General features: G+C 51.2%; 1 protein-coding gene and 1 long non-coding RNA gene across 3 annotated transcripts in view, besides 5 other annotated features; one reads left to right on the forward strand and one right to left on the reverse strand.

Moving 5' to 3' along the window:
• The window catches only part of KLHL29 (kelch like family member 29), a 323428-nt gene that overhangs the window by 116746 nt on the left and 184656 nt on the right, over positions 1 to 22026 (forward strand). The window contains exon 1 of one of the 2 annotated variants that reach the window (XM_006711929.4): positions 5304 to 22014. The exons of the other annotated variant lie outside the window; for it this stretch is intronic. The gene's annotated coding sequence lies outside the window, so the exon portion shown is untranslated. Of the gene's footprint in view, positions 1 to 5303; positions 22015 to 22026 lie in introns of those variants that run through there. 2 annotated transcript variants of the gene reach the window in all.
• The window catches only part of LOC105374325 (uncharacterized), a 28384-nt gene continuing 6358 nt past the window's right edge, over positions 1 to 22026 (reverse strand). The window contains exon 2 of the long non-coding RNA XR_939831.2: positions 1 to 5308. This is a non-coding gene — a long non-coding RNA (uncharacterized LOC105374325). The remainder of the gene's footprint in view (positions 5309 to 22026) is intronic.
• Positions 2239 to 2787: an enhancer, noted in NCBI's record as "H3K4me1 hESC enhancer chr2:23727033-23727581 (GRCh37/hg19 assembly coordinates)". NCBI's record gives its function as "activates a minimal SCP1, AML or CMV promoter by ChIP-STARR-seq in primed H9 embryonic stem cells {active_cell/tissue: H9 hESC(primed)}" and the evidence as "EXISTENCE:reporter gene assay evidence [ECO:0000049][PMID:30033119]".
• Positions 4091 to 4591: an enhancer, noted in NCBI's record as "H3K4me1 hESC enhancer chr2:23728885-23729385 (GRCh37/hg19 assembly coordinates)". NCBI's record gives its function as "activates a minimal SCP1, AML or CMV promoter by ChIP-STARR-seq in naive H9 embryonic stem cells {active_cell/tissue: H9 hESC(naive)}" and the evidence as "EXISTENCE:reporter gene assay evidence [ECO:0000049][PMID:30033119]".
• Positions 15089 to 15589: an enhancer, noted in NCBI's record as "H3K4me1 hESC enhancer chr2:23739883-23740383 (GRCh37/hg19 assembly coordinates)". NCBI's record gives its function as "activates a minimal SCP1, AML or CMV promoter by ChIP-STARR-seq in primed H9 embryonic stem cells {active_cell/tissue: H9 hESC(primed)}" and the evidence as "EXISTENCE:reporter gene assay evidence [ECO:0000049][PMID:30033119]".
• Positions 18204 to 18705: an enhancer, noted in NCBI's record as "NANOG hESC enhancer chr2:23742998-23743499 (GRCh37/hg19 assembly coordinates)". NCBI's record gives its function as "activates a minimal SCP1, AML or CMV promoter by ChIP-STARR-seq in naive H9 embryonic stem cells {active_cell/tissue: H9 hESC(naive)}" and the evidence as "EXISTENCE:reporter gene assay evidence [ECO:0000049][PMID:30033119]".
• Positions 21280 to 22026: part of an enhancer, noted in NCBI's record as "CDK7 strongly-dependent group 2 enhancer chr2:23746074-23747273 (GRCh37/hg19 assembly coordinates)", that runs on past the window's edge. NCBI's record gives its function as "activates an origin of replication core promoter dependent on BRD2, BRD4, P300/CBP, MED14 and CDK7 cofactors, with strong dependence on CDK7, by STARR-seq in HCT116 cells {active_cell/tissue: HCT116}" and the evidence as "EXISTENCE:reporter gene assay evidence [ECO:0000049][PMID:35650434]".

The raw sequence follows: 22026 nt of genomic DNA on the forward strand, positions 1-22026 counted from the left end.
TTTGTTTTTAACATGCATCTTAATTTAATTTTAATTTTAAAACATCACCTGCATTTTCAAACCAAAGAAAAAAGACTCCTTCCTCCAAGAAAGGTCTCCTGCTGGCTCCTGGGCCCATCGGGTGCTGTTGCTGTGTAGCCAGGCCGGGTGCACATTCTTCACAGGTTGTAGTGCTCCTGGCTCAGACCGGGAGGTTTTCTGAAGTCTAGTCAGCTACACAACTCTACACCTGGAATGTCAGACATTCGCAATGCCTCCAGAACAATGGATGGCAAAAAAATTCATTCTGTGCTTTTTCCGGGATCGCTTGCATGCAATTGTGCCCGCCGAGCAGGAGGACTCCAGATTAGAGGGAGAGAGAGCGAGAGAGAGGCCTACTCATCGGTCTGCATAATCAGCATCGAACATATTTCTGCCCCAACAAAGAGAACAGTGTGTTCCTGAGACGCTGCCGTGCAGCTCGGAGGCTCACTAGTGGGCGGTTCTCCCGGGAGGGAGTCGGGTGTTTCAGCAGCTCTCCCCACACCTACCACCCACCTTTTGGGGGGCCCCAGATTTTCTGGCCCCTAAGGGGGAGGACACTTGCACAGGGCCTGGCAGAGGGCAGAGACGGCTCTGGCCCCTGTGCCCCTTCATCCTCTGACCCGCATGAAATAAAACTCCTGCAAATCTACCTATATGACCAATTCATCCCCCTCGTGTTTGGCCCTTCCAGCACCTGTCACTAGGCGCAGGCGGTCAGCAGGGATTCAAACCACCACTGGGCCACTTTGCTGATCTCTTTAGATGCAGTGTGTGTCTTATTCCCATGATGCTGGTGGCCACTCCACATTCTTATGGGGGACCTGTGGGGTTCCCAACCGCACCCTGCATCTGTCTCTCCAAGCACCACGGACACTTCCAGATAGAAGAAGCCAGGCTGCAGTGTGGTCCAAGCCCCTTCTAGGTCTCTCCCTTTTCAGCCCTCTCTAGCTGGCTCCACTGGCTTGGTTACTAAAATTCTAGCAGGACTCAGGTCTGTTGGGGATGGCCAAGCTTGAAATATTTCTTTTTTCTTTTTCTTTTTTTTGGCCTGTCTTACCTACAGTTGTATTTTCCTCTTTAATCATAAGGATTTACATCAGGAAAAATAACCTGAGAATAGATGTGTTTTGTTTGAATGTCGTAGTTGTGCCCTTTGTAAAATTACCCCAGGGCATGATAAGAAAAGGAGTAAGCAATTAAAATGCACAGGGCTACGGCAAGGGCAGGCAGATCTGAGTGGAGGCTGCTGTCCTGTGAAGTAGACCTGGCAGGGGATGGCTGCTCCGGGCTGGCCTGGGCCTCGCTCTGCCTCTGTTGTTGCTCTGACCTTTGACAAATCATTCCCTTGCCTGTGTCTCGGTTGCCCCATCTGAGCGAGAGGCTGGACTAAAAGGTCACTAAGGTCACTTGTAGCCTGACCTTCCATGGCTCTATAATTCTCTTTGTTATCTTTGGCCACTTACATGTTTGCCATGATCATTGCCAATCAAACTAGGAATGTTTAGCAGATTTTAGACACTCAGACTGGAAAATACAGACGAGGCCATAGAAGTTAGTGTTGTCCTAGGGATGGCTCCTGGTTCACGCAGGCTCCTCATAGGGTCCCTGCCGCTACACACCACGAGCCCACCGAGACTGCTGCAGCCTCGCTCATCCAGAACAGAGGCACCATGGCCAGGAGGCCCTTCCTTTGTTGGGTAGGAGCTGCCCCCGTCCATGTTCCAGCTCCTCCCAGGCCCCCATGGATAAAATAGGGCCACAGGTGACAAGTGAGTTCTGTGACCCTGACCGGCAGCAGCTGCCAGCGAAGGAGGAAGGAAACACAGACAGGAGGTCTCAGAGCACAGCACGCCAGACCTCTAGTCCACACAGTCCTGCACACATTGCCGTCTTTGTTTAAAGAGAGGCGGAGGCAGACCCCAGGCATTCAAATGATAGAATGCTTCTGCTGTGCCTGCATCCTTCCCTCCTCCACTAGGAGCCTCTGGTTCCAGCCCAGATGAACCCACTGGGCTGGGAACGCCACACAAAAGCACTCTCCAAGCCAGCCAGAGGTCCCTGAGGGCCAAGACAGGGCTGACCAGAGGCAGTGTCTGGACATCCTACTGGGAGCTCGGGAGGAGGCAGTGACAGCTCAGGCCAGTAATGGGTATTCTTGAGAGCAATCCCAGGTCATCAAGGGAAGAGAAGGTTATGCTTCGTATACTGTGTTCAGGGGCCAGATAAGTTTTAATACGTTCCAGAAGTGTGCTCAAGCAAAAAAAATTATTAGAATTTTTAAAAATTAATATTTGTGCTTAAAGAGACAAATGTCAGAGATCTAGAACGTTAATTTATTTGGAAAAAGTTCAAGCAGAGGGTGAGAGCTCTGATCGCCCACCAGCCTTAGCATTCCGGAGTTTTCAGGGTCGGAGTGGGGGCCACTTCTAGGCACTAAGAAGAGCTACAGGCAGGGATGTCTACAGGGTGCCCCACTGCCCATGGGGTCAGAGGCCTGGAGCTTTAGGCAAGGCCTCACCTCTGGGCAGCAAAGGCGGCTGTCTGGAGCCCCGGGGCCTCCCTAGGGTTTCCATGGTTAAGTCCCAGTGTTTCCAGTTAGGGAGGCTGGAGGGAGGGGGCACAGGGGGCAGGGAAAGAGGCCCAGCCTTCCCTGAAAGGGAGTCATGGCTCCTGTTTGCAGCTGGAACTGGAAGGGGGTAGGCACTAACTGGGCCAGAAAAAGAAGCTGGAGCAAGGTTCTAGTGCCGGGGCTGGGCTTGGATTGGACTCAGTAATTCTGGGCCTCTGGGGCTGGCTGTCCTCGAGCCAGCATGTGCCGGGCACAAGCCAGGAGCCGTGGCAGCTCCCCTCAGTCTGCTCAGGGGCCTTGTGTGCCCAGCCTGTGGGCCGCCATTCTGGCCGTTGAATGTGCCCAGGCCTCTCCTCCTCAAACCACCAAGCTCAGCTGATGGCCCTGGTGACCCAGCTCCTCCCAGGCAGCCAACCGAAGCCTCCACGGGGCAGGCACTGAGCAGCTTTGATCTGCCCACCTGCTGCCATGAGGGGGACAGTCATTTCAGAGCATCCTTTTGCCTCTCACCTTCCCGCTGGGAACAAAACCCTTAAATCCTCTCCTCCCCTCTACCAGAATGCTCTGTCTTCTCTCATGTTTGGCTTTTTATACACTATATTTGACAGTGTCTCTCCCTTCGAGGTTAAGTGTCGTTCACCATGGTCCCTCACTTTCTGCTGCTAGGGGCCTTTGCAGGTGGAGAAACTGAGGCCCAGGCACTGAGAGGAGATCTGAGAGCCCTGTGATGCAGGGTGTCAGAGGAGACAGGCCTTGTCCTGGCAAGCTGTCCCCTGGACCCTAGCAGCTGCCTCCCCGACCTCCGTGGAGGTGTTCTCTCGAGGCATGTGCTCAGAGGCTCTCCCCGGCTGGGGCCCTGATGGACACTTTGCTCAGAGGCCTCTCCAGCTCTCTGCACCGCTCCTTCCCTTCCTGCAGGGGCATCATGGCTGCAGGTGTGCCGCTTCTCCCCTCTGTTCCTGCCCATCTTTTTGTCCACATGTGGCTTCATCCCTCTGCCTCTTAAGGTGGACTCTGGTTAGGTTGTCTGGGTGGCCACAGGCATGGCTGCCCCATCCCTGCATCCCAACAGCCTCTCAAAGCCCCCACCCAGGTCCCTTGCCAGGGCTTCCTTGTCCAGGAGGGAAGTCCTCCCAAGTACCCCTGGAGAGCCACCTACAGAAAGTTCCAGAGAACAGATGGAAGCTCCTACTAGACTGACTTTGGTGACTGGAAGGAACATGCTCAAAAGGCACCCCCATACCAGTGTCACGTGGAAGAGAGGCCAGAGAATGGTGGGGATTTGAACTTGCATGTGCTCTGGGTTTACATCAGAAGTGTCCTCCCAGCCCTTCCCCTACAGGGTGGGTTCAGAGGACACCTGACCCAGTTCAGGAGCAACCAAAGGGCGTTGGGGGTCTCTGAAGAGGATGTTCCGTCTATCACTGCCAATGCCAGGCAGCTCCCAGCCAGGCTAATTAGGTCAGCCTCCCCCGATCATGCAGCCCAGAGCCCGACCACGAGGACCATGCTGGGGCCTGGGGAACGGCTTCATTACCAGCCACTCTGCAGCAACAGGAGCACTCTGGGCTTGAGAACCCTTGGTATCCTTTCATCTTCTTTTAAGAAAATGCTGAGAAAACAGGCAAACTTCCCTGGGAATGATGGGCGGGCCCAGACATATTCCAGATGGGCATGATTTTGGTTCATGTTGCAACAGGCTGGACAGCTTGCCGTTGTTCACAGGTCATCCGCTAGACAACAGAGCAGCTTATCTTCGCGAAGTTGAAGGCACAGGAAGGCTTATGGCCTGACCCTTCACCTACAGATTTGATAGAGACACATTGCCACGATGCACCTCTGCCATGGAACTAATACCTTCCCTAGTAACAGAGCCAGGCCCTATAGCTTGCCACTGGGGAGAGAATCTCTGCACAGGCGAGGACCTTTCAACCTGATCCTTATCCCCCAAGAGCCACTGCTCCTGTAGGGTCTTTTATTAATTGTTGTTACTCCACCGCCTTGCCAGGGACAAGGACCCTAGCTCCTCCCTTTTTGACCACTCTGGCCCAAGTGGGGTACTCAAGGCTGTTTCCTTCCTCTTTGTGGCTGCTGAAATCACACTAGGACATTTAAAGGGGCTGCAGCCACAGCCACGGGGAGCAGCAGGGAACTCATTACATCAGAGCATTACATCATGGGACCATGTGGCTCAGCAGCCATCGCCTCTCTTCCAGGAACCACCGGCTCTTCCTTTCCTGGTTCCAGCCATGTAGGGGACACCATCAAAGCTCCCAGGAGTGCAAACCTGAACAGCCTGACTCCTCAAAAGAACCATGAGCCTGCCTTCTGCATCCAGCTCTTCTGAATGCCAAAACCCCTGACACCTACAGGGTGGGGTAGAAGTCTCTCTTCCAGAGCTGCATAGCCTTCCCAGAGTGAGATTTGGGAAAGGGAGAAGAATGCTGAACTTATGCCAGAGAACCTTCCACACTCAGAGCCTTTAGAGTCTTTTTATAGAATGCAGAAAAGCTGTGACCAAAGCTAGACTGCAGCCGACCCTGGGGTTCTAATCAAAGTTTGAAGGCAGCCGCATTTCCTCAGGCTCAACATCGCTGCCTGGGTGGACCTGCACGGGTGTGCCCAGCTGTTGGTGGCGCTCACTCCCGTGCATGCCATCATAGCCTTCCTGGTGCAGGGACCCACACACCTGTAAGCACCATCAACATCCAGATCCTGTAACATAAGAGGCAGGAAAATAAATAGCAGGGACTTGCAGAATGGCTAAGGTAAGAAAGAAAATGAACAAAGGAGCAGGGCCCATTTCAGGGGCCTGTTTGTGTGTGCTAGCCCACCAGATAATAAGATTACCCATTTCTTATCTCCGCCTCAAATGGCCTCAGTGCCAGCCCCGTCCCGGAGCAGCGTCACAGTGCACGGGTGTCCTTCCGTCCTTCCCTCTCCTGCTGCCTGTCCTTAATGACAGTCACAAGAGCAACAACAACAGCTGGCTTCGGGGATGTCACAGCACCTGGGACTCACCTACCCTGACTTTGTAGTGCCTCTCGGCAGAGGCTACATTCTTGAAATCTAAATGTTTAACGTCTGCTCTTGAGTGTGACTTCACCCCTCCCTTGACTCAAGCCTAGATAGGGACCCAGGATGTGCATCTCTGGGAGCAGTTTGGAGGGACCTGGCCTCACTTCGGGCCTGACCTTTGGAAATTCACCCAAAGCAGCCTGTTTGTTCCTGGCTCTGCCTCTGTTGTTGCTCTGACCTTTGACAAGTCATTCCCTTGCCTATGTCTCGGTTGCCCCATCTGAGTGAGAGGTTGGGCTAAAAGGTCGCTAAGATCACTTCTAGCCTGATCTTCCATGGCTCTATAGTTCTCTTTGTTATCTTTGGCCACTTACATGTTTGCCATAATGATTGCCAATCAAACTGGGAATGTTTAGCAGATTTTAGACACTCAGACTGGAAAATACAGACAAGGCCATAGAAGTTAGTGTTGTCCTAGGGACGGCTCCTGGTTCACGCATGCTCCTCATACGGTCCCTATTCTCAGCCTCCCAGCAGGGGCCTGGGTCTGAGGCCCCTAAGACCCCACGCTTAGGACAGGAAGGAAGTGGCCAGTGGCAGGCACCCAAGAAACTGTGTGGCTCAACGCTGTTCCAGTCCTGTTGTGTAACAAACCACCCCAAACCTGGAGGTGTAAGCAACCGTCTTACTACTCTCACAGATTCTGTAGGTCAGGACTTCAGACAGAACACAGTGGGGAGAGCTTGTCTTCAGTGTCTAGGACCTCAGCTGGGAACACTCACAGGTTGGGTGGTCCACCTGCAGGGGCTGGAGATCCTCCAAAGCATCTTCACTCAGATGGCTGGCAGTAATGCTGCCCGATGGGACCTCTACCGGGCTTTCTGCTCATACAGAAGCTCAGGGCCATGAGGAGGGGTCCCAGCTAACAGGTAGGAGCTGTGCTGCCTTTGAGGACTTAGCCTCAGAAGCACACCTGTGCTCCATTCTATTAGTTACAAGTGAATCACAAGTCCACGTAGATTCAAGAGGAGAGAATTAGGCTCCACCTCTTGATGGGGGAGTGTCGAGGTTCTAGAAGAACTTGAGATTGCAGTTTGCCACAATATCTCAGCCGCGGGATCCCCGCATCTTGCAGACAAAACCCAAAGTCTTGATAAAATGCCTGTGTGTCTGTTCTGTGCAGATTCCTGAGGTGGGACCCCACACTGGGTTCCCACAACCTGTGGACTCAATACAGGCAATTCAGCAAACCAGCTCCCAACATCTATCCCTGATTGCAGGGACATTTAACATAAAGCACAGCCTAGCACAGCAAAAGGCAGCTTCCCTGTCATGGAGAAAGCAGAGAATCTAGAGCTAGACCGGGTGGTTTCAATCCTGGCTCTGTCACTTACTGTGTGACCTTGGGTAGGTGACTTAAACTCTCTGTGCCTCCGTTCCCTCATCTGTAAAAGATTTGGATGATAAAAATAGTACCTATGTACCTCCGTCATGAGAATCAAATGGGTTACTGCTTGGAAGTGCCAAGGATGGTATAGAAATAAAATAAAACGTCCATCAGCTCCTTCAGGCCCGGAATGTGTGATGGTGGGTGCTCCAGATATTCTACACAAGAGAAGGGCTCAGGGCAGGAGCAGATGCTTCAGGCACCCGGGAAGACTGCGGCTGGTGGAGACCTGGGGATACCGGGTTATTTCTGCCTCCACACTGCAAGGACTCTCATCTCTTATGAGAAAGGCAAATGACACCCAGCTGAGGCTGGGAAGTGCTGTAATGTGGGTGGGGTGATGGGGCTGGCTGCCATGTCCAGGATCTTCATTGGACTGCTGTGTGGAGAGTCTACCCTTCCCTTGCCTTACTCTGTGTGTGTGTTTAAGTTCATAACTTATTCTTGCCTGTGGATCTGGGAGAGTGAGGGACAGGGGCGGATGGTATATTTAATTAAATATCGCCACTCCCTCCTCTTTAAGGTCATTACAGTCAATAAGGGGGAGAAGAAATATCTCTTTAGGAGGCCTTTCAAATGAAAAAAAAATGAATTACTGAATGCAAAAACAGTCTTATATCTGTGGCATCCTTCCTTCAGTTGTGATTTAATATGTGCACGGTGCAATACAGAAATACAAAGCAGCTTGGGAAAAAGTCTCAGCCCTAAGAATCTTATAGTATTAAAACTCGAGTAATCCTACACAAGAGAAAAATACAGCAAAGCCTGAGCTTGGCCCCTGCAAACCAGTGCACTCCACCCGCTGTGACCCGGGGGGTGGTGGGAGGCCTCTGGAGAGCGGCTGGGTGCTGCTTTTGACAGCTGAATTTTATTAACTGTTTTTTCATTCCTCCTGACGGACCTGGCAATGAACTCTTATCAGTGTATTGTGGCGAGTACAAGTCAATTAATTTCTTTTAAATAACTTCAACTGAAATTCTATTTGATTTATATTCCAAAAAAGATTTCCATTCCATCATTCCTTCCTGAGATTATGGTCCCGGCAGAGTTAATCACACTGGCTACACAGTCACCCATACCCCAGGGAGAAAACAGGATCAAGGAGAGGAGGAAATGAGACGGAGGTGGAGCTGAGAGCATCCTAAAGACCCTTTATTCAGTGTGAGGCCATGTGCTCAGTGACAGGGGAGTTTGCTGAAATCTTGCCCTCAGAAGAGCTTATTTCTAGTGGTTATGGCAGGGGATGGATTGGGGAGTGACAGGAAATGTCTGGAAGATGGGGGAGACTTAACCAAGAAGCATGACTGGGGGCACCAGGGCCGCTGAGGTTTGCTGCTGAGCCACCTCCTCATTTAGTATCCAGTTTCTAGGGCTGGCATCCCAGGACACCCTCCCTTAGCTCAGCCCCAGTTGTGAGCACCTGACCCTTCTATGGCCTGCTGTGTGGGGCCACCCCAGCCATGGTGGTGGTGATGGTGAGCTGTCCCTGTGAGCAAGCCTCAACAGGCTTTGCTGTGGGTCTGTCCATCCCTTAAACACAGGCTGGGACAAGCAGAGCTGCCCCCTTCCTGAGGGTCTGCCCACAGGGTCCCCCGATTGTCACCAGCCAAGTCTTACAAACAATAAGGCCTGGCTTATCTGGGAGGGAGGGAGCAGGAGCTGGGTGGCACCTGGCCCAGAGAGCAGAGCTTAGTGAGTGGCTGGTGACAATGACAAGAGGTTAGAGCTCCAGAGGGAGGGCGGCTCCTGCCCTAAGGGAGACAAGTGGTGGCTGGATCCCAAGGCTGGGCAGGTGTAGGGCTGAGAGAGATGCCTTCTCAAGCCATCTCCTGCCCTAGTGACAGGCGGCCGAGTCAGGACTGGCAGGCTTCTGGGGGACAGCACGTCACTGCCCTGGGGTGGGAATACTCTGGTGAAGAATTCCAGGCAGTCAAACAGTTTGGCCAATATGAGTTTGGACAAAAAAATATATATTTGCAAAATATCTGCTGTGGATGCTGTATTAGTTTGCTAGGGCCACCATAGCAAGGTAGCACAGACAGGGTGTGGCTTACAGAACAGAAATGTATTTTCTCACAATCCTGGAGCTTAGAAGTCCAAGATGAAGCTGTTGGCAGGGTTGCTTCCTTCTGAGGGCCCTCAGACCTCTGGCATCAGAAGTTTCTAGGGCATTTGATAAAAATGTGAACTTCTGAGACACTGAGTCAAAATCTTTAGGAGTGTGGCCCAGGATTTGACATTTAAATAAACTAAATAAGCTCACCAGGTGACTCCCAGTGGTGCCCCCTGAAGTGCCATCGCATGGGTAAATAAAGGGTACAGCACAGCCTCACCTTCAAGGAGCTCCCTAGTCAAGGAATCAAGACCTGCACAAGACAATCAGAGAAAGTGTCATGCAGTATAATAATCCAATCACTGCCCAGTTGGAGGGCGCAGACCAAAAAGTGCCTCAGGAGCTTGGAGAAGGAAGATGGGTCCCCATGGAGCGGGGAGTGTTAGGGAAGCAGTCCCTGGAAGGTGGTGTTTCTCACGTCTTCCTCTGCACAGAGATGATTCGAGGCTGAGGGTTAGCTGTGTGTGAGGACAGGGAGGCTGGGAGATATGAGGATCTGGATAAAAACTTATCTCAGCGTTGAGAGTATCTTTGAGCAGTGTATCCCTTTTGTCTTTATCAAAACACAAATTTTGTTTTTTCTGAAATTCCTGTTTGCTGTCTGGGGATGTGATATCGGTGCCTGACACATCGTCACTTAACAAAGGTTTGTTTGCTGGCTTAAGAGTTTCAGATGTTCTGTGTCGGTTCGTGGCTGCAGTGACTTTATCTCTCAGGAGGGAGGTGTGTGGCTGGTGGGGGTGGTGGGGGAACCCAGCTGGTGAACAACACGTGCTGGTGGCGAGTTCTGACTCCAGCAGGTGAGAGTTGATGTTGTTTTAAACAGTATTCACCCCACCTGTCTTCCGATACACATATTGATCCCGGCCAACAAAGAGTTGACAGGAGACCACACAGAGATAAATATGTCAGGGCTCTCGGTAGAAAACAACATGCATGGCGGTGACGGAACCCGCAGTGGATGCAGCAGACTTTGGAACTGCACTTCCACTTACTGGCTGGGTGACCTCAGCAAATGACCTAACTTCTCTGAGCCTCAGTTTCCTCGTCTTTAAGATCAGGATAATAGGCCGGACGCGGTGGCTCACACCTGTAATCCCAGCACTTTGGAAGGCCAAGGTGGGTGGATCACCTGAGGTCGGGAGTTCAAGACCAGCCTGACGCACATGGAGAAACTCTGTCTCTACTAAAAATACAAAATTAGCTGGGCATGGTGGCATATCCCTGTAATCCCAGCTACTTGGGAGGCTGAGGCAGGAGAGTTGCTTGAACCTGGGAGGTGGAGGTTGCTGTGAGCAGAGATCGCGCCATTGCACTCCAGCCTGGGCAACAAGACCACAATTCTGTCTCAAAAAAAAAAAAAGATTGGGATGATAAAAATACCTATCACATTGTGATATGGCAAGGATTAAGCTAATTATAAAAGAAGTTTAGAATGATATCTGGAATATAAGTATGCAATAAATGTTAGCGATCAATATGGCTTTTTCCACCCAAATGAGTGATGTTCTGCGAATTTACTTCAAACAAGATATCACGGCTGTTCTCTAAGGACTGGGTAGTCACTAACAAATCCATTTTCCTTATCGTGATCTATATAGCTCAGTGATTTTTCTGCTCTCTGCTCCAAGCTAAGAACAGAGAGCTTCGCCTCCCAGACTGAAATGAAGCATCCGCTGGTACAGGACTGTGTATGCGCCTCTGTCTGGAGGGGGCTGTCTGTTGGTTAAAGGGTGTCTTTTCCAGGCCCTGGAGATTGCAGGCACTAACAGTCCACTCAGGTGACAACGTGTCGTACTTCTCTGTGCATGCTGTGGGGACTCAGCCTCACACCAGGATGTGTCCCTTCAAACCCAGTCCCTGGGGGCACACAGGCCGTGGGCTGTGGGATGTGGCTCAGGAGGCTTGGGGAGTCCACTGTCAGCCATCCTTGGCATGCTTCACGCGTGGTGACCCCCAAGAGGGGAGAAGGCCACACCTCCTTAGAGCGTGGTGCTTCTCAAAGGGTCTCACTGTAGTTACCGTCTTGGAGTGGGTTCATCCTTTTGCCTGCACTTTTAAGTCATGGGGAAATGTTAAATTTGGGGAGGGTGGAAAAAGGGTCAGAGAGACAGAACTTGCTGACTCCTATTTTGGGACTAGTTCTGCAATCCAATTTCTTTTTTCTTAAACAATCTTATAGAAATCTGCCAGAGACAATGAATAAAGGCAGAACTCCCTGGTCGAAGCAGAGATGCCTCTTTCTGGAGTCCCTGAATTACCCATATGGGATCTGAGGCTTCCTCTGAGCCAGTTTGAAAATGCCTGCCCTCGGAAATCCTCCTTGCCTTCTGAGCCACGCCCTCTGTCAGGGTGGGCAGGGTCCAGGAGAGAAGGGACCGCCGCTTCTGCTAGAACCAGGCAGGTTTCGTTTTGGATGATCATTACCAAACTCTTGGCTCAAATGCATTGTTTAAACTTGACTTTTCTACATTCTCCCAGGACCTGAGTACTAACTAAGGCCTGAGCAGGTAAGCTGAACCGCTTGACGTGATAATCCAAACTGACAGGATTGTCAGCTGGTTACGAGTCTCCTCCTCCTTCCCACGTCACTCAGAGGACAGGAGGGCAGAGGGAGAGATCGGAAGTGCTGGGCATTAGGATCGAGGATGCGCTGGGTGCAGGACCCACCGAGGAGGTGTGGACTCTGGCAAGAGGGCCTAAAAACCCCAAAAGGCTCCATCTATAGACTTTCCACGTCAGCCTACAGCCACCCCAAATTTTCTATGATTATTATTTTAACAACACATAGGCCTTATTTTTAAAATCTGCTGCACTTGAGCAATTTCATCTGACGTCAGCTGGCTGCCGGCAACTCTGCTTGAAAACAAGAATAACCAAATCTTCTAAGGAGTAATGCTGAACCTGCTTCAAACGCAATAAATCACAAAAACCATTGTTTACAATAAGTGGTATCTGATTGCTGTTAGAACCTGTGTTTATTGCTTTTGTGCATTATGGTCTCTTGTAATTTGGACAGCCAGAAATTGTATTCCTTTATGCAGTGCGTAGGCAGGGTTTGTAAGGGGGGAGGCATCTGTAATTATGCTGCCAGGGAGTGAGGTTGAGGAGCCTCCAAGGAGCAAGAAAATGCAGTTGCCTGTTTTTCATCTGAGGAGCTGGGCATCAGGCTTCCCACTTTCCAGTTCTTGGAACCCTCAGGGCTCCATTGGAGAGAGACCTGGGCAGGGGAGGATAAGGAGTGGACCTTAGAGCTATAGTGCCCCAGATCAGAGAGCCCTTAAGTGGCCTCAGGGTGCAGAGTGCCAGGTGGGTGGGCAGACGCCGGCCCCACAGGAGGCTGGGCTTATGGTTTTCCTGGAAATTGCCTTGGTCTCTCCTGCACGTTTCTTCCTCATTCTCCACCATCCTGACGAGTGCCCTGACTGGACTTTGTAGGTGAAGGCTAGCAGCAGGGATCTAGGAACAGCTGATGACAGAATTCTTTGGCACCTCTGTCTGCAAATTTGAGAAGCAGCCACTTGACCATGTGGCCTGGATCTTGCCATTGTCAGTCAGTAAATGGATGATGTTGCTTGATTTCTTTGAGGCACCGTTAGGAAGAAGGTCAGTGTGTCTGGGTGTGGTGATCTGTCATTCTCCTAATTCAAAACCTCTGGACTCGAAGAAGAGGGTCTAGTTTCTCTTTCATGAAAATAGACCACGCTCCATCTATCCTTGCTGCTTTGGCTTCAGTTGGTTCTTCCACCCGGAATGCTCTTTTCTGTCTATTTCACCTGTGTGAAACCCACCCATCCTTCCAGTTCCTGCACTTCCATTAATGACTTCCCTGAACTTGTCCCTCCTATGTCCTTAATCTCAGTAGAATTTCACCACCATTCCCCCAGCCTCTCAAGCCTAAAAACTAGGGTTCATCTGAGACATGTCTTTTTCCCTCCACCCAACACTAGCCCAGCACACAGAGACACTTGGGAACTGTTTGTTAATGAATTAATGAACTTGATAGTTAACCACCAACTCTAACCCAAATCACTTTCTGGATATTTCTCCAAATTGTCCCTCTTCGCATTTCTACCACCACAGCCCAAGGGAGGGTCCTTATTCAACAGGACCACCTCTGAACAGCCTGTAAAGCCCCCCATATCCCCCTGCACCCTAGGACCTGGTGTTCAGGGTCATGTCTTAGCCTCTGACCCCCACTCCCACAACCTCTACTCCCCAACTTGCTCATTTACTCCAAGTCCCTTCCGGTTCCTGAGCACAACATACATGCTATTTCATTACTAAGGATGTTTCTCTGCCCAGAATATCCCTACCCCTTCTTCACCTGGCTTCCCCTCTTCAGAGACTTGGCTCAGGCACCACCTCCTCCAGGAAGTCTTTTCCAGCTGTGCCTGTGGGCCTTGGGGGGCCCCCGTCTCTACTTCCACAGCTCCTGTGTTTTTCTGTGTAGTAACTCTTGTCACAATTATAACAAACTGTAAAGGTCCACCCTTAAAGGCAGGAATACTGTGTTATCTGTCTGACCATCCCCCATGCCCAGCACAATTCCTGGCCCACAGAAGGTCTCCTGTGAACGAGGATCTAAATGGAACTGGCACGAATGCTCAAATGGCACATGAAGTGCAGAGAGCACCAAATTGTATTAATACACAATTGTTTGTTGACTTAGACCAAGTTCATAGGCGGCTCCCCAAAGAAACCACAAGGACTAGATCTGAGAAGTTGCAGCCCTCCACGGCATCTGAGCAGAGTGGCTGTTCCTCTGTGGTGGCTCCATGAGTGAGTTAGTGGGCACAGAAGGAGCCTGGTCTGCCGTGTTGATTGATAGCTGTCCCCACAAAGCATGGGACTAGTCACGCATGCTTTATTAAAAAGATAAATGAATCAATTTTGTGATTCTAAAGCTATAGTCTATTGGTCAATTTGTACAAGCTCTGGCATTAATTAGATGCTGAGCTGGACAGCAGGGTCCCCTCTCCCTCCTAGAGCTTAGAAGGGTTCTCTGAGGCTCCAGGACTTGAGTTTCAGTGAGAACTATGGATCCCTTCTGCCCTGCCCAGCCTGGCTGGCTGAGCAGTAAAGGAAGTGAGGAGAGAAGCTAAGGCAGGGCTCTACTTACAGAAGACCCTTGACTCTGGGGCCATGGGCACCTGCTGGGCCCGGGACTGGGAAGGGCTGACCAGGAGCAACTATTCGAAGGCAGCACCCTGCACACAGCCTAGCATCTGCACTGCTCAAGGCCAAGGGTCATGATTTCCAGATTCATTTATTTTAACAAACTTCCCCTTAATACACACACGCGCACACACACGTGGGAATGCTACACTAGCCAAGCTCGCCCCCAGCACCGAGAAACAAACTGGACGCACTCCTTTCTCTTCCTCTTCCCCTGCACACAGCAGACCCTCCAGGGACAATGCACATAATTCAGGCTTTTGTGCCATGGCGCAGCAAGCTAGGTTATGATTATACCAGCCTCTGGGGTCTAGCCAGGTAGCCCCATGGCCGTTGATGGCTTTGTCTCTACAGGAAAATACATTTGGAGTTACAAACAGCTGACTTCTTGGCAGACTTCTTGGAATTCAAGCAGCTCATAGGCAAGGGGCTGGGAAGTGGACCCTCGAGCCGGTTGGCCAATCAGCAGGTCCTCCAGGGCCCTCATCCATGCCTGCCCTGGCACTGGGGAGGCCACAGAGGAATTAGTGAACAGATCTCAGCTTACAAAGCCTCACAGTTTGATCTGGGGTGAGGCAGGAGGCAGGAGGCAGGGATTCCCTCCAGACCCTCAGAGCAGAACCAAGTCTTGCGTGTGGTGTCCCGCCAGCCCATGTCTCTGAAGACAGGGGAGGCAGCGTGGGCTTTGTCAGGCTGGTGACGGACGTGCCTGGGAGCAAGAGCCTGGGTCCAGAACCTTCCTGTCACAGGGAAAGTGCAGAGCTCCCTGTTTGTCAGCTGCTTCGTGGTGCGGAGCCTGCAAAGTCCAGGGAGAGGTTTCGTGCAGAAAGCCCTGTCTCCCTGTGCCCGCTGTGGACGTGGAAGGCAGAGGCGCGTCCTCTCTCAGCCACTCTCCTCCAGCCCGGGGGTCTGCCGTCCGCTGAGCTCTTTTTTCTTTAAACTTAGGAACAGAAGCCATTTGACAGAAACTTTTAAAAACAACCTAACTAGGCTGGGCGCGGTGGCTCACGCCTGTAATCCCAGCACTTTGGGAGGCCGAGGCGGGTGGATCATGAGGTCAGGAAATCGAGACCATCCTGGCCAACATGGTGAAACGCCGTCTCTACTAAAAATAGAAAAATTAGGTGGGCCTGGTGGCACGCACCTGTAGTCCCGGTTACTCAGGAGGCTGAGGTAGGAGAATCGCTTGTACCGGGGAGGCAGAGGTTGCAGTGAGCCGAGATCGTGCCACTGCACTACTCCAGCCTGCCGACAGAGCGAGACTCCGTCTCAATAAATAAATAAATAGAACCTAACTAATATAACATTTGAAATTTGGTCCTTTCCAGAATCTTTTCCCATCTTTTTAACATGTGCAGAGTGGATACAAGGCTGCCTCGTGTTTCCCATTTTTCTCCTAATGGAATTCATGTCTGGGTCTCCATGTGTCGCCGGAGTCCACTCCCGCTGAATGGATGGCTGCCCAGGGTTCTCTGCTCCTAGGGCACATTTGCTCAGCAGCTCCCTGTGGTAGAAAACTGGCTGGGCCCATTCCCACCACTGGAAAGTCACTTTAGTGCAGTGTCTTCTTGCCTCTAAGATACATTGGCCTTCCATTCTTTGAGCCTTGTGGGGTTAATGAGATGGAGAGTGAAGTAGGTATTTTTGTTCTCCCTCAGACCCTCATGGACAAGTCATGTTTTACCTCTGTGCTTCAGTGTTCTCCTCTTCAAAACAGGGAGGATGAGAAGTCCCCTTTCCCAGAGGACTATGAAGATTAAATGAGATAGTGTGTAGCTCATCATAAATGCTCAAGAAAGGGGAGCATAGAAGTAATAATTAGAGTAACCCCCTGAATTATCCTTGTTCTGGGAAAGCAGACAAGTCCGGTGGGCTGGGGGCCAACTTCCTCAGCCCCTCCGTGGGGACCCAGCCCGGAGGGAACCTGAGACTTGGCCTATGGCTCCTCCTCCCACATGACCCTGACGCTGTAAATGTCGCCTAACAGTCTTAAGCAGTTTTCACTGTGACCTGTTGTTATTTTCCTTGCTTAGAAGTAAAGATGTAAGCGTTGGAGCCTACCCGTTGACTCGTGAGAGAACCCAGTGGTCCTCTGGGAGGGCAAGTGTTTGAGCCACTGGGGATTAGGGAGCAAGAGCCTGGCTGCAAAGAGAGGGGGGATCTTCCCTTCTCCAGGAGATGCTCACGGATCTCAGGCCCTCGCTTTCCTCTGTCTGCTGAGCCCCATTTGGGCCTCTGCCTCTGCTACTTCCGTGGCCTAGAAAAGACAGCCCTAGAAAAGAAACCCCAGCTGTCCCCTCCGGGAAGGCTCTGTGCACCTTCTCCATGCTGGTGTGGGCGCTGTAGCACTCCCTGGCCAGTACCCAGGACACCTGAGCTCCCCACCAGCTTCCACACGCAGCAAGCACCGCATGTGCTTGCTCCCCACTGGGCCTGGTCCACAGCTGCACACGCCAACACATGCACCTGGTCCAGGGCCCCAGCCATCCCCTGCCCTCCACAGTCACTCCTAGGTCTGAGCCACCCCACAGCTGTCCCTTTCCTTTCTCCTATCCCCATATCATGAACTGGGTGACCATCCTCCAAGAGAGTGGCTCCAGATGTCCTGAGCAGGCATCAGAAGCAGCCAAAGTGTTCAGTCTCCTCTGCTTTCTCGGAAAAATGTTTTCTTTTTATTAGTGACTTCCCCCAGGCAATCCTTAACCCAGGGAAAGAGGCTGCTCTGTGGGCCTAGTGAGGGCTGGGCTGCCAGGCGGCATGTGGAGAGCCCACTTCTCTCCTCTCTGGGAGTCCTGCACAGACCATGCCCTGGAATGCACTTTCCAGTCTCAAGGCTTTTCTCATGTTCTGTGGGGTCTGTGCCCAGAGGCTATGTCAGAAGCTGCAGCCACCAAGCGGGGACAGCCTCCCTAGGTAAACTGACACTGACCCTCCGCTAGTCAGTCTTGGACCCGTCCACTACCCCGTCATCCACCCATGACTTCTTCCAGCCAGATCCAGCTCCTATGTTGTCAGCCTTGGCAATACCCCAGGGTCCCAGGTCCCCCGTCCTCCCCTCCCCCCCAGGCTCCCTCCCACCCAGGCATTCTGACCTGCTAGCTCAGACCCAGAATCCTGCCTCCCATGGCATCCGATGACTCCCCCTGGCCAGTGTGCCAAGGCCTCTAGACAGCTGCTGCCACACCCTCCAACTCTGGCCAGCCCCGCAGCAGAATGAGGCTTGGGCCCAGGACCAGGGTGTTGCCCTATTTAGGAGCTGTCAGCAGAGGGAGTGTTGGCATAAACCACCCTGGGGTATGTGAACCCAGAAAATCTGAGACAGGTCTCGGTGAATTTAGAAAGTTTATTTTGCCAAGTTGAGGACTCGCCTGTGACACAGCCTCAGGAAGTCCTGACGACATGTTCCCAAGGTGGTCGGGGGACAGCTTGGTTTCATCCATTTTAGGGAGACATGAGACATCAATCAATATATGTAAGAAGTATATCGGTTCTGTCTGGAAAGGTGGGACAACTTGAAGCAAAGGCAGGAAGACCCAAAGTGAGGAGGGAGCTTCCAGGTCCCAGATAGGTGAGACACAAAGATTGCATTGTTTTGAGTTTCTGATTAGCCTTTCCAAAGGAGGCAATCAGATATGAATCTATCTCAGTGGGCAGAGGAACTTTTATTAATGAACTTGATTTTATTAATGAACAAATTTATTTTGAATAGAATGGGAGGCTGGTTTGCCCTAAGCAATTTCCAGCTTGAGTTTTCCTTAGAGATTTTGGAGGCCCCAAGATATTTTCCTTTCACTGGTATCATCCACCCAGGAGAGAAGCCAGGTCAGGGAGTGGCAGAGAGAGGAGGACGGGTCTGAAGACTTCCTAGTCTCATTGAAGGTGGTCAGTGACCACCCCAGGTGAGGGTGAAGCCCTCTGCTAAATAGAAAGCAGCCCAGACAAGGCCAAATCCACCTCAAAACGGGGTACAGGGCAGGGGTGTTCATCGTGTTAATTCTGTTGGGCTTGGCCTCTGCGCTTTCATGGGCTCAGATACCTAAGCCTTCCAGGGCCTCAGGTGCCTGATCTGCACCCAGGGAGGGCTGGAGGGAAAGGAGCCTGAAGGGGCTTTCAGGGCCTTCTGTGATTCGTTGACTACTTCAAACAAAAACAAAGCCTTCCCAGCCGGGGTGATGGAGGAAAATAAGAACAAAGCTGGCTGTGTTTGCTTGTGTTGGAATCCAAGGAGGGGACCTACTGGAATTTCCCTCCCTTTGCTGGAGGCCAAGGTCAGGCCACTGCCCTGACCTCTGTTTCCTGGGCCCTGAGATCATGGCACTGTCAGAGCCCACTGGGAAGGACAGGCGCAGGTGATTATTTATACAAGTCTTTTCTTTCAGTGGACTATTTACGTACTCCCAACACTTTAAGGAAAGAAACTTTGGTTTCACAGTGGATGAAAGTTTTCCCATGCTTTAAGGTGACTCTTTCATACATTTCTTCTTAGTACAACACAAATCTCATTATAGGAATTTCAGTATTTTAACAAAAGGAACCACAGTCATCGTAATGAGATCCCCGAATAAAGTTCAGTTCATTTTCATCTGTCTTTTCTCCCCAAATATTATTGCTAGAAATGTTACATTATCATAAACCCGAGTTCAGGATGCATAGTTTCCACAATTGTCTTCTTTCCTCCATATACAAATTCTGATTACTGCTTTCATTTTACAAAGACCACCCCCCCCCCCGCTCCCCCTCAGGGGTGTTTCCATCTTCTCAGATATTTTTCTTTGCCTTACCCCAAGCTACGTACATAACCGGATGGCTAGAATTAGGAGAGTCGATGGTGGATATTCCTGTATCCGTCTATCTGCCCCCTGCCTGCCATGTGGTGTGGGATACATGCAGGAGGTATCCTGGGAGGGGACTGCTTCGAGGGGCTTCCCCAAGGGCATTCCTTGTGGCCATGCAGAAGGCCATGCAGAAGGACTCCCAGGGAAGGCTGTGGCCCAAGCCCTCCTAGCCAGCTCTGCCTGCAGGAGGAAGGACAAGGGACTCCTACATGGCACCCTTGGAGGCGAGGTTCGTGCACTGGAAGTTTCCAAGCAGACTTTATTTCCACTCAGCCATGTCAGAAACCTCTAGCAGGACTGGTGCTCTAACTTCACACAGGGTTTCAGAGTCAGGGCCTTCTCCCTAGTACAGTGAAGCTGCAGGTGCAGCCTGTCCCCTAGGTCCATGTGCTGCATTGGGCCAGCTGGGCAGTCATGAGCTCCCTCAGCATCCTCAGGCCCAGTAGCCACTCCTCTCTGCCTCCTCCCTGGTGTCTATTGATGTCTCTGCAGGGAACATGCTCCAGGTGACCCAGACACTGAGCACTTTGCAGGCAGGCAGCATCCTCCCCATAGCTAAGAGTAGTAACTACCTGTACCCCATTTCTTGGGAGGAAACAGAGGCTCAGTTTCAGCACGTTGTTCAATAGACTGCAGCCAGATGGTAAACATCAGAGCCAGGACGTAAGGCTCTGTTGAATTCCAAAGCCCACACTCTTAAGCAGTCTGTGGTCTTAGTAGTATCATTAATTATGCAATGATGCATCAATACTCAGGGGTCCCGTAGAGGTAGTTGGGACGTTTATCCCTGAACTAAATGGTCAAAGCTCACTATGCTTACTAAGTTTGTGCACCTGCTTTTCACAGCCTTTCTGCATCTCCCCTTATTCTCATTAGTTAAACTTGCCATGGTCATTGTTTTTGCCTAAAGCACTAGTACCCACCTGACCTGCTGTGGACCTGCTTGTTAGAATTGTTTGCAAAGGAAGCATCCATAGGCTATGAACAAGGATGCTGGGGCTTGCCTGTGAACACCAAGCTTCAGTGTGTGTTTATTCTAAGGCTTTTTTTTTTCTTTTGAGATGGAGTCTAGCTCTGTTGCCCAGGCTGGAGTGCAGTGGCATGATCTTGGCTCATGGCAACCTCCCCACCTCCCAGGTTCAAGCAATTCTCCCACCTCAGTCTCTGAGTAGTTGGGACTATAGGCGTGTACCATCACGCCTGGCTAATTTTTGTATTTTTAGTAGAGATGGGGTTCCACCATGTTGGCCAGGCTGGTCTCGAACTCCTGACCTCAAGTGATCCACCTGCCTCAGCCTCCCAAAGTGCTGGGATTACAGGTGTGAGCCACCACACCCAGCCTCTAAGGCCCTTTTGATTGCTTTTTGAATTTTGGTTATGTTTGGGATCACAGAAGGATGCTTGTTCTTATTTCTGGGCAGATGGAAGACCTTTTACCTTTTTGAAATCTGATCAGAAAAAAAAAAAAGCTTTTTGCAGGTTGGAGAGTCATCAGGTGGGGTGGGAAGGTGAGGCGGGTCTTTTGGGTTCTCTTCCCACAAAGTAGGCTGGTAGCCTTGAGTATGAGTGGGGAAACCCATGGCTCAGTCTCTGGAGAGAGAGTTTCTTCTCCTCCAACCCAAGCCCTGAGTCTGGACCCCCGAGCTTTTATTCCTGACTCCAGTGGCAACTCTCTCTAAAGCCATCTACCACCTCCAGGCCAGGCTGTTGGACGTGCAGCTCTTCCCCTGCTGCCGCCACAGAGTTTACAGAGTAAGCCCAGCCCTGCAGAGGTGACCAGTGCTGTGCAGATGTGAGGACCTGCATGGACTCGACTTTGTCAGTGCCCTGATTGCGTTCCCTGTGGAGCTGACCACGAGAGCAGGTGTTAGAGCCGTCTCTGAAGAACTGAATGTTAGAATCTATGCGCCTGCCTGTGGGGGTGGTTACGGGCATTTAGTGGGGAGGGGGGATGGTTCTCAGAACCTTGGGGGGCAGAGGCATTCAGAACTGCCTGGCATTCTCACTTCCACTGGTTTCTTTACCAGCACCAGTGTGCATTTTGTTCAGCAAACCCGGAACTCAGGAAGCTTTGCCACCTGGGTGCCTGTCAGCGGCAGCACGGTCCACCCCAGGGTGGGCTGGGGCAGAGGGCCTGCATGCCACAGCGAGAGCAGAAAGGGAGCAGAGCCATTTTGTAGAGCGAGTTTTCCAACCCCTCTTATGATCCTTCCTCTATTCTAAAGCAAAGGACATAAATACTAAACGGTGGTTCTTGCCAGTGCTGATAAGGAAAACCAGTAAATGCAGGAGTCTCATTAAGAAAATCCTAAAATTTTAGTCTTATCACTGCTGCAACATAATACAGTAAGTATGTTAATTCTAACCTCCCTTAGCTTCCCCCCGCCAAAATCCCTTTCAGCTAAGGCTGGCAGGAATGAACTGCACTCTGGCTACAGACTGAAGCCACGTCTGATTTGGATTTTTTTCCTCGCCTTGGCTTCACGTAGTGAGTCTCCTATTTGGGTGGACATGGCTTTTACCCCCTCATACTTCCCAGCTGCCTTTGCCATTATTCAGTTCAACAAACATTGAGGAAGTACCTACTGTGTGCAGGCCACAGTCGTAGGAGCTGGGAAATGTCAGAGTCAGCTGAGTTCATCTCTTTGCAAGAGCCAATAAGCCGACGAGGGAGCAATGATTTATAGGCCAAGCCTGCCAGCCGGCCTTGTCCCCAGCAAAGACTCATTTCAACAAGCTTCTCTTCCAAGTGATTATTTGCTGTTTGTACTGCTTGGACTTGGCACGCTTCTACAATTCCTTTTACCAAAGAGGAAAGAGGGACCTTGAAGTAAGTACTTAC

The sequence above is a fragment of the Homo sapiens genome, chromosome 2 (assembly GCF_000001405.40).
Source record: "Homo sapiens chromosome 2, GRCh38.p14 Primary Assembly".
NCBI lineage: Eukaryota > Metazoa > Chordata > Mammalia > Primates > Hominidae > Homo > Homo sapiens.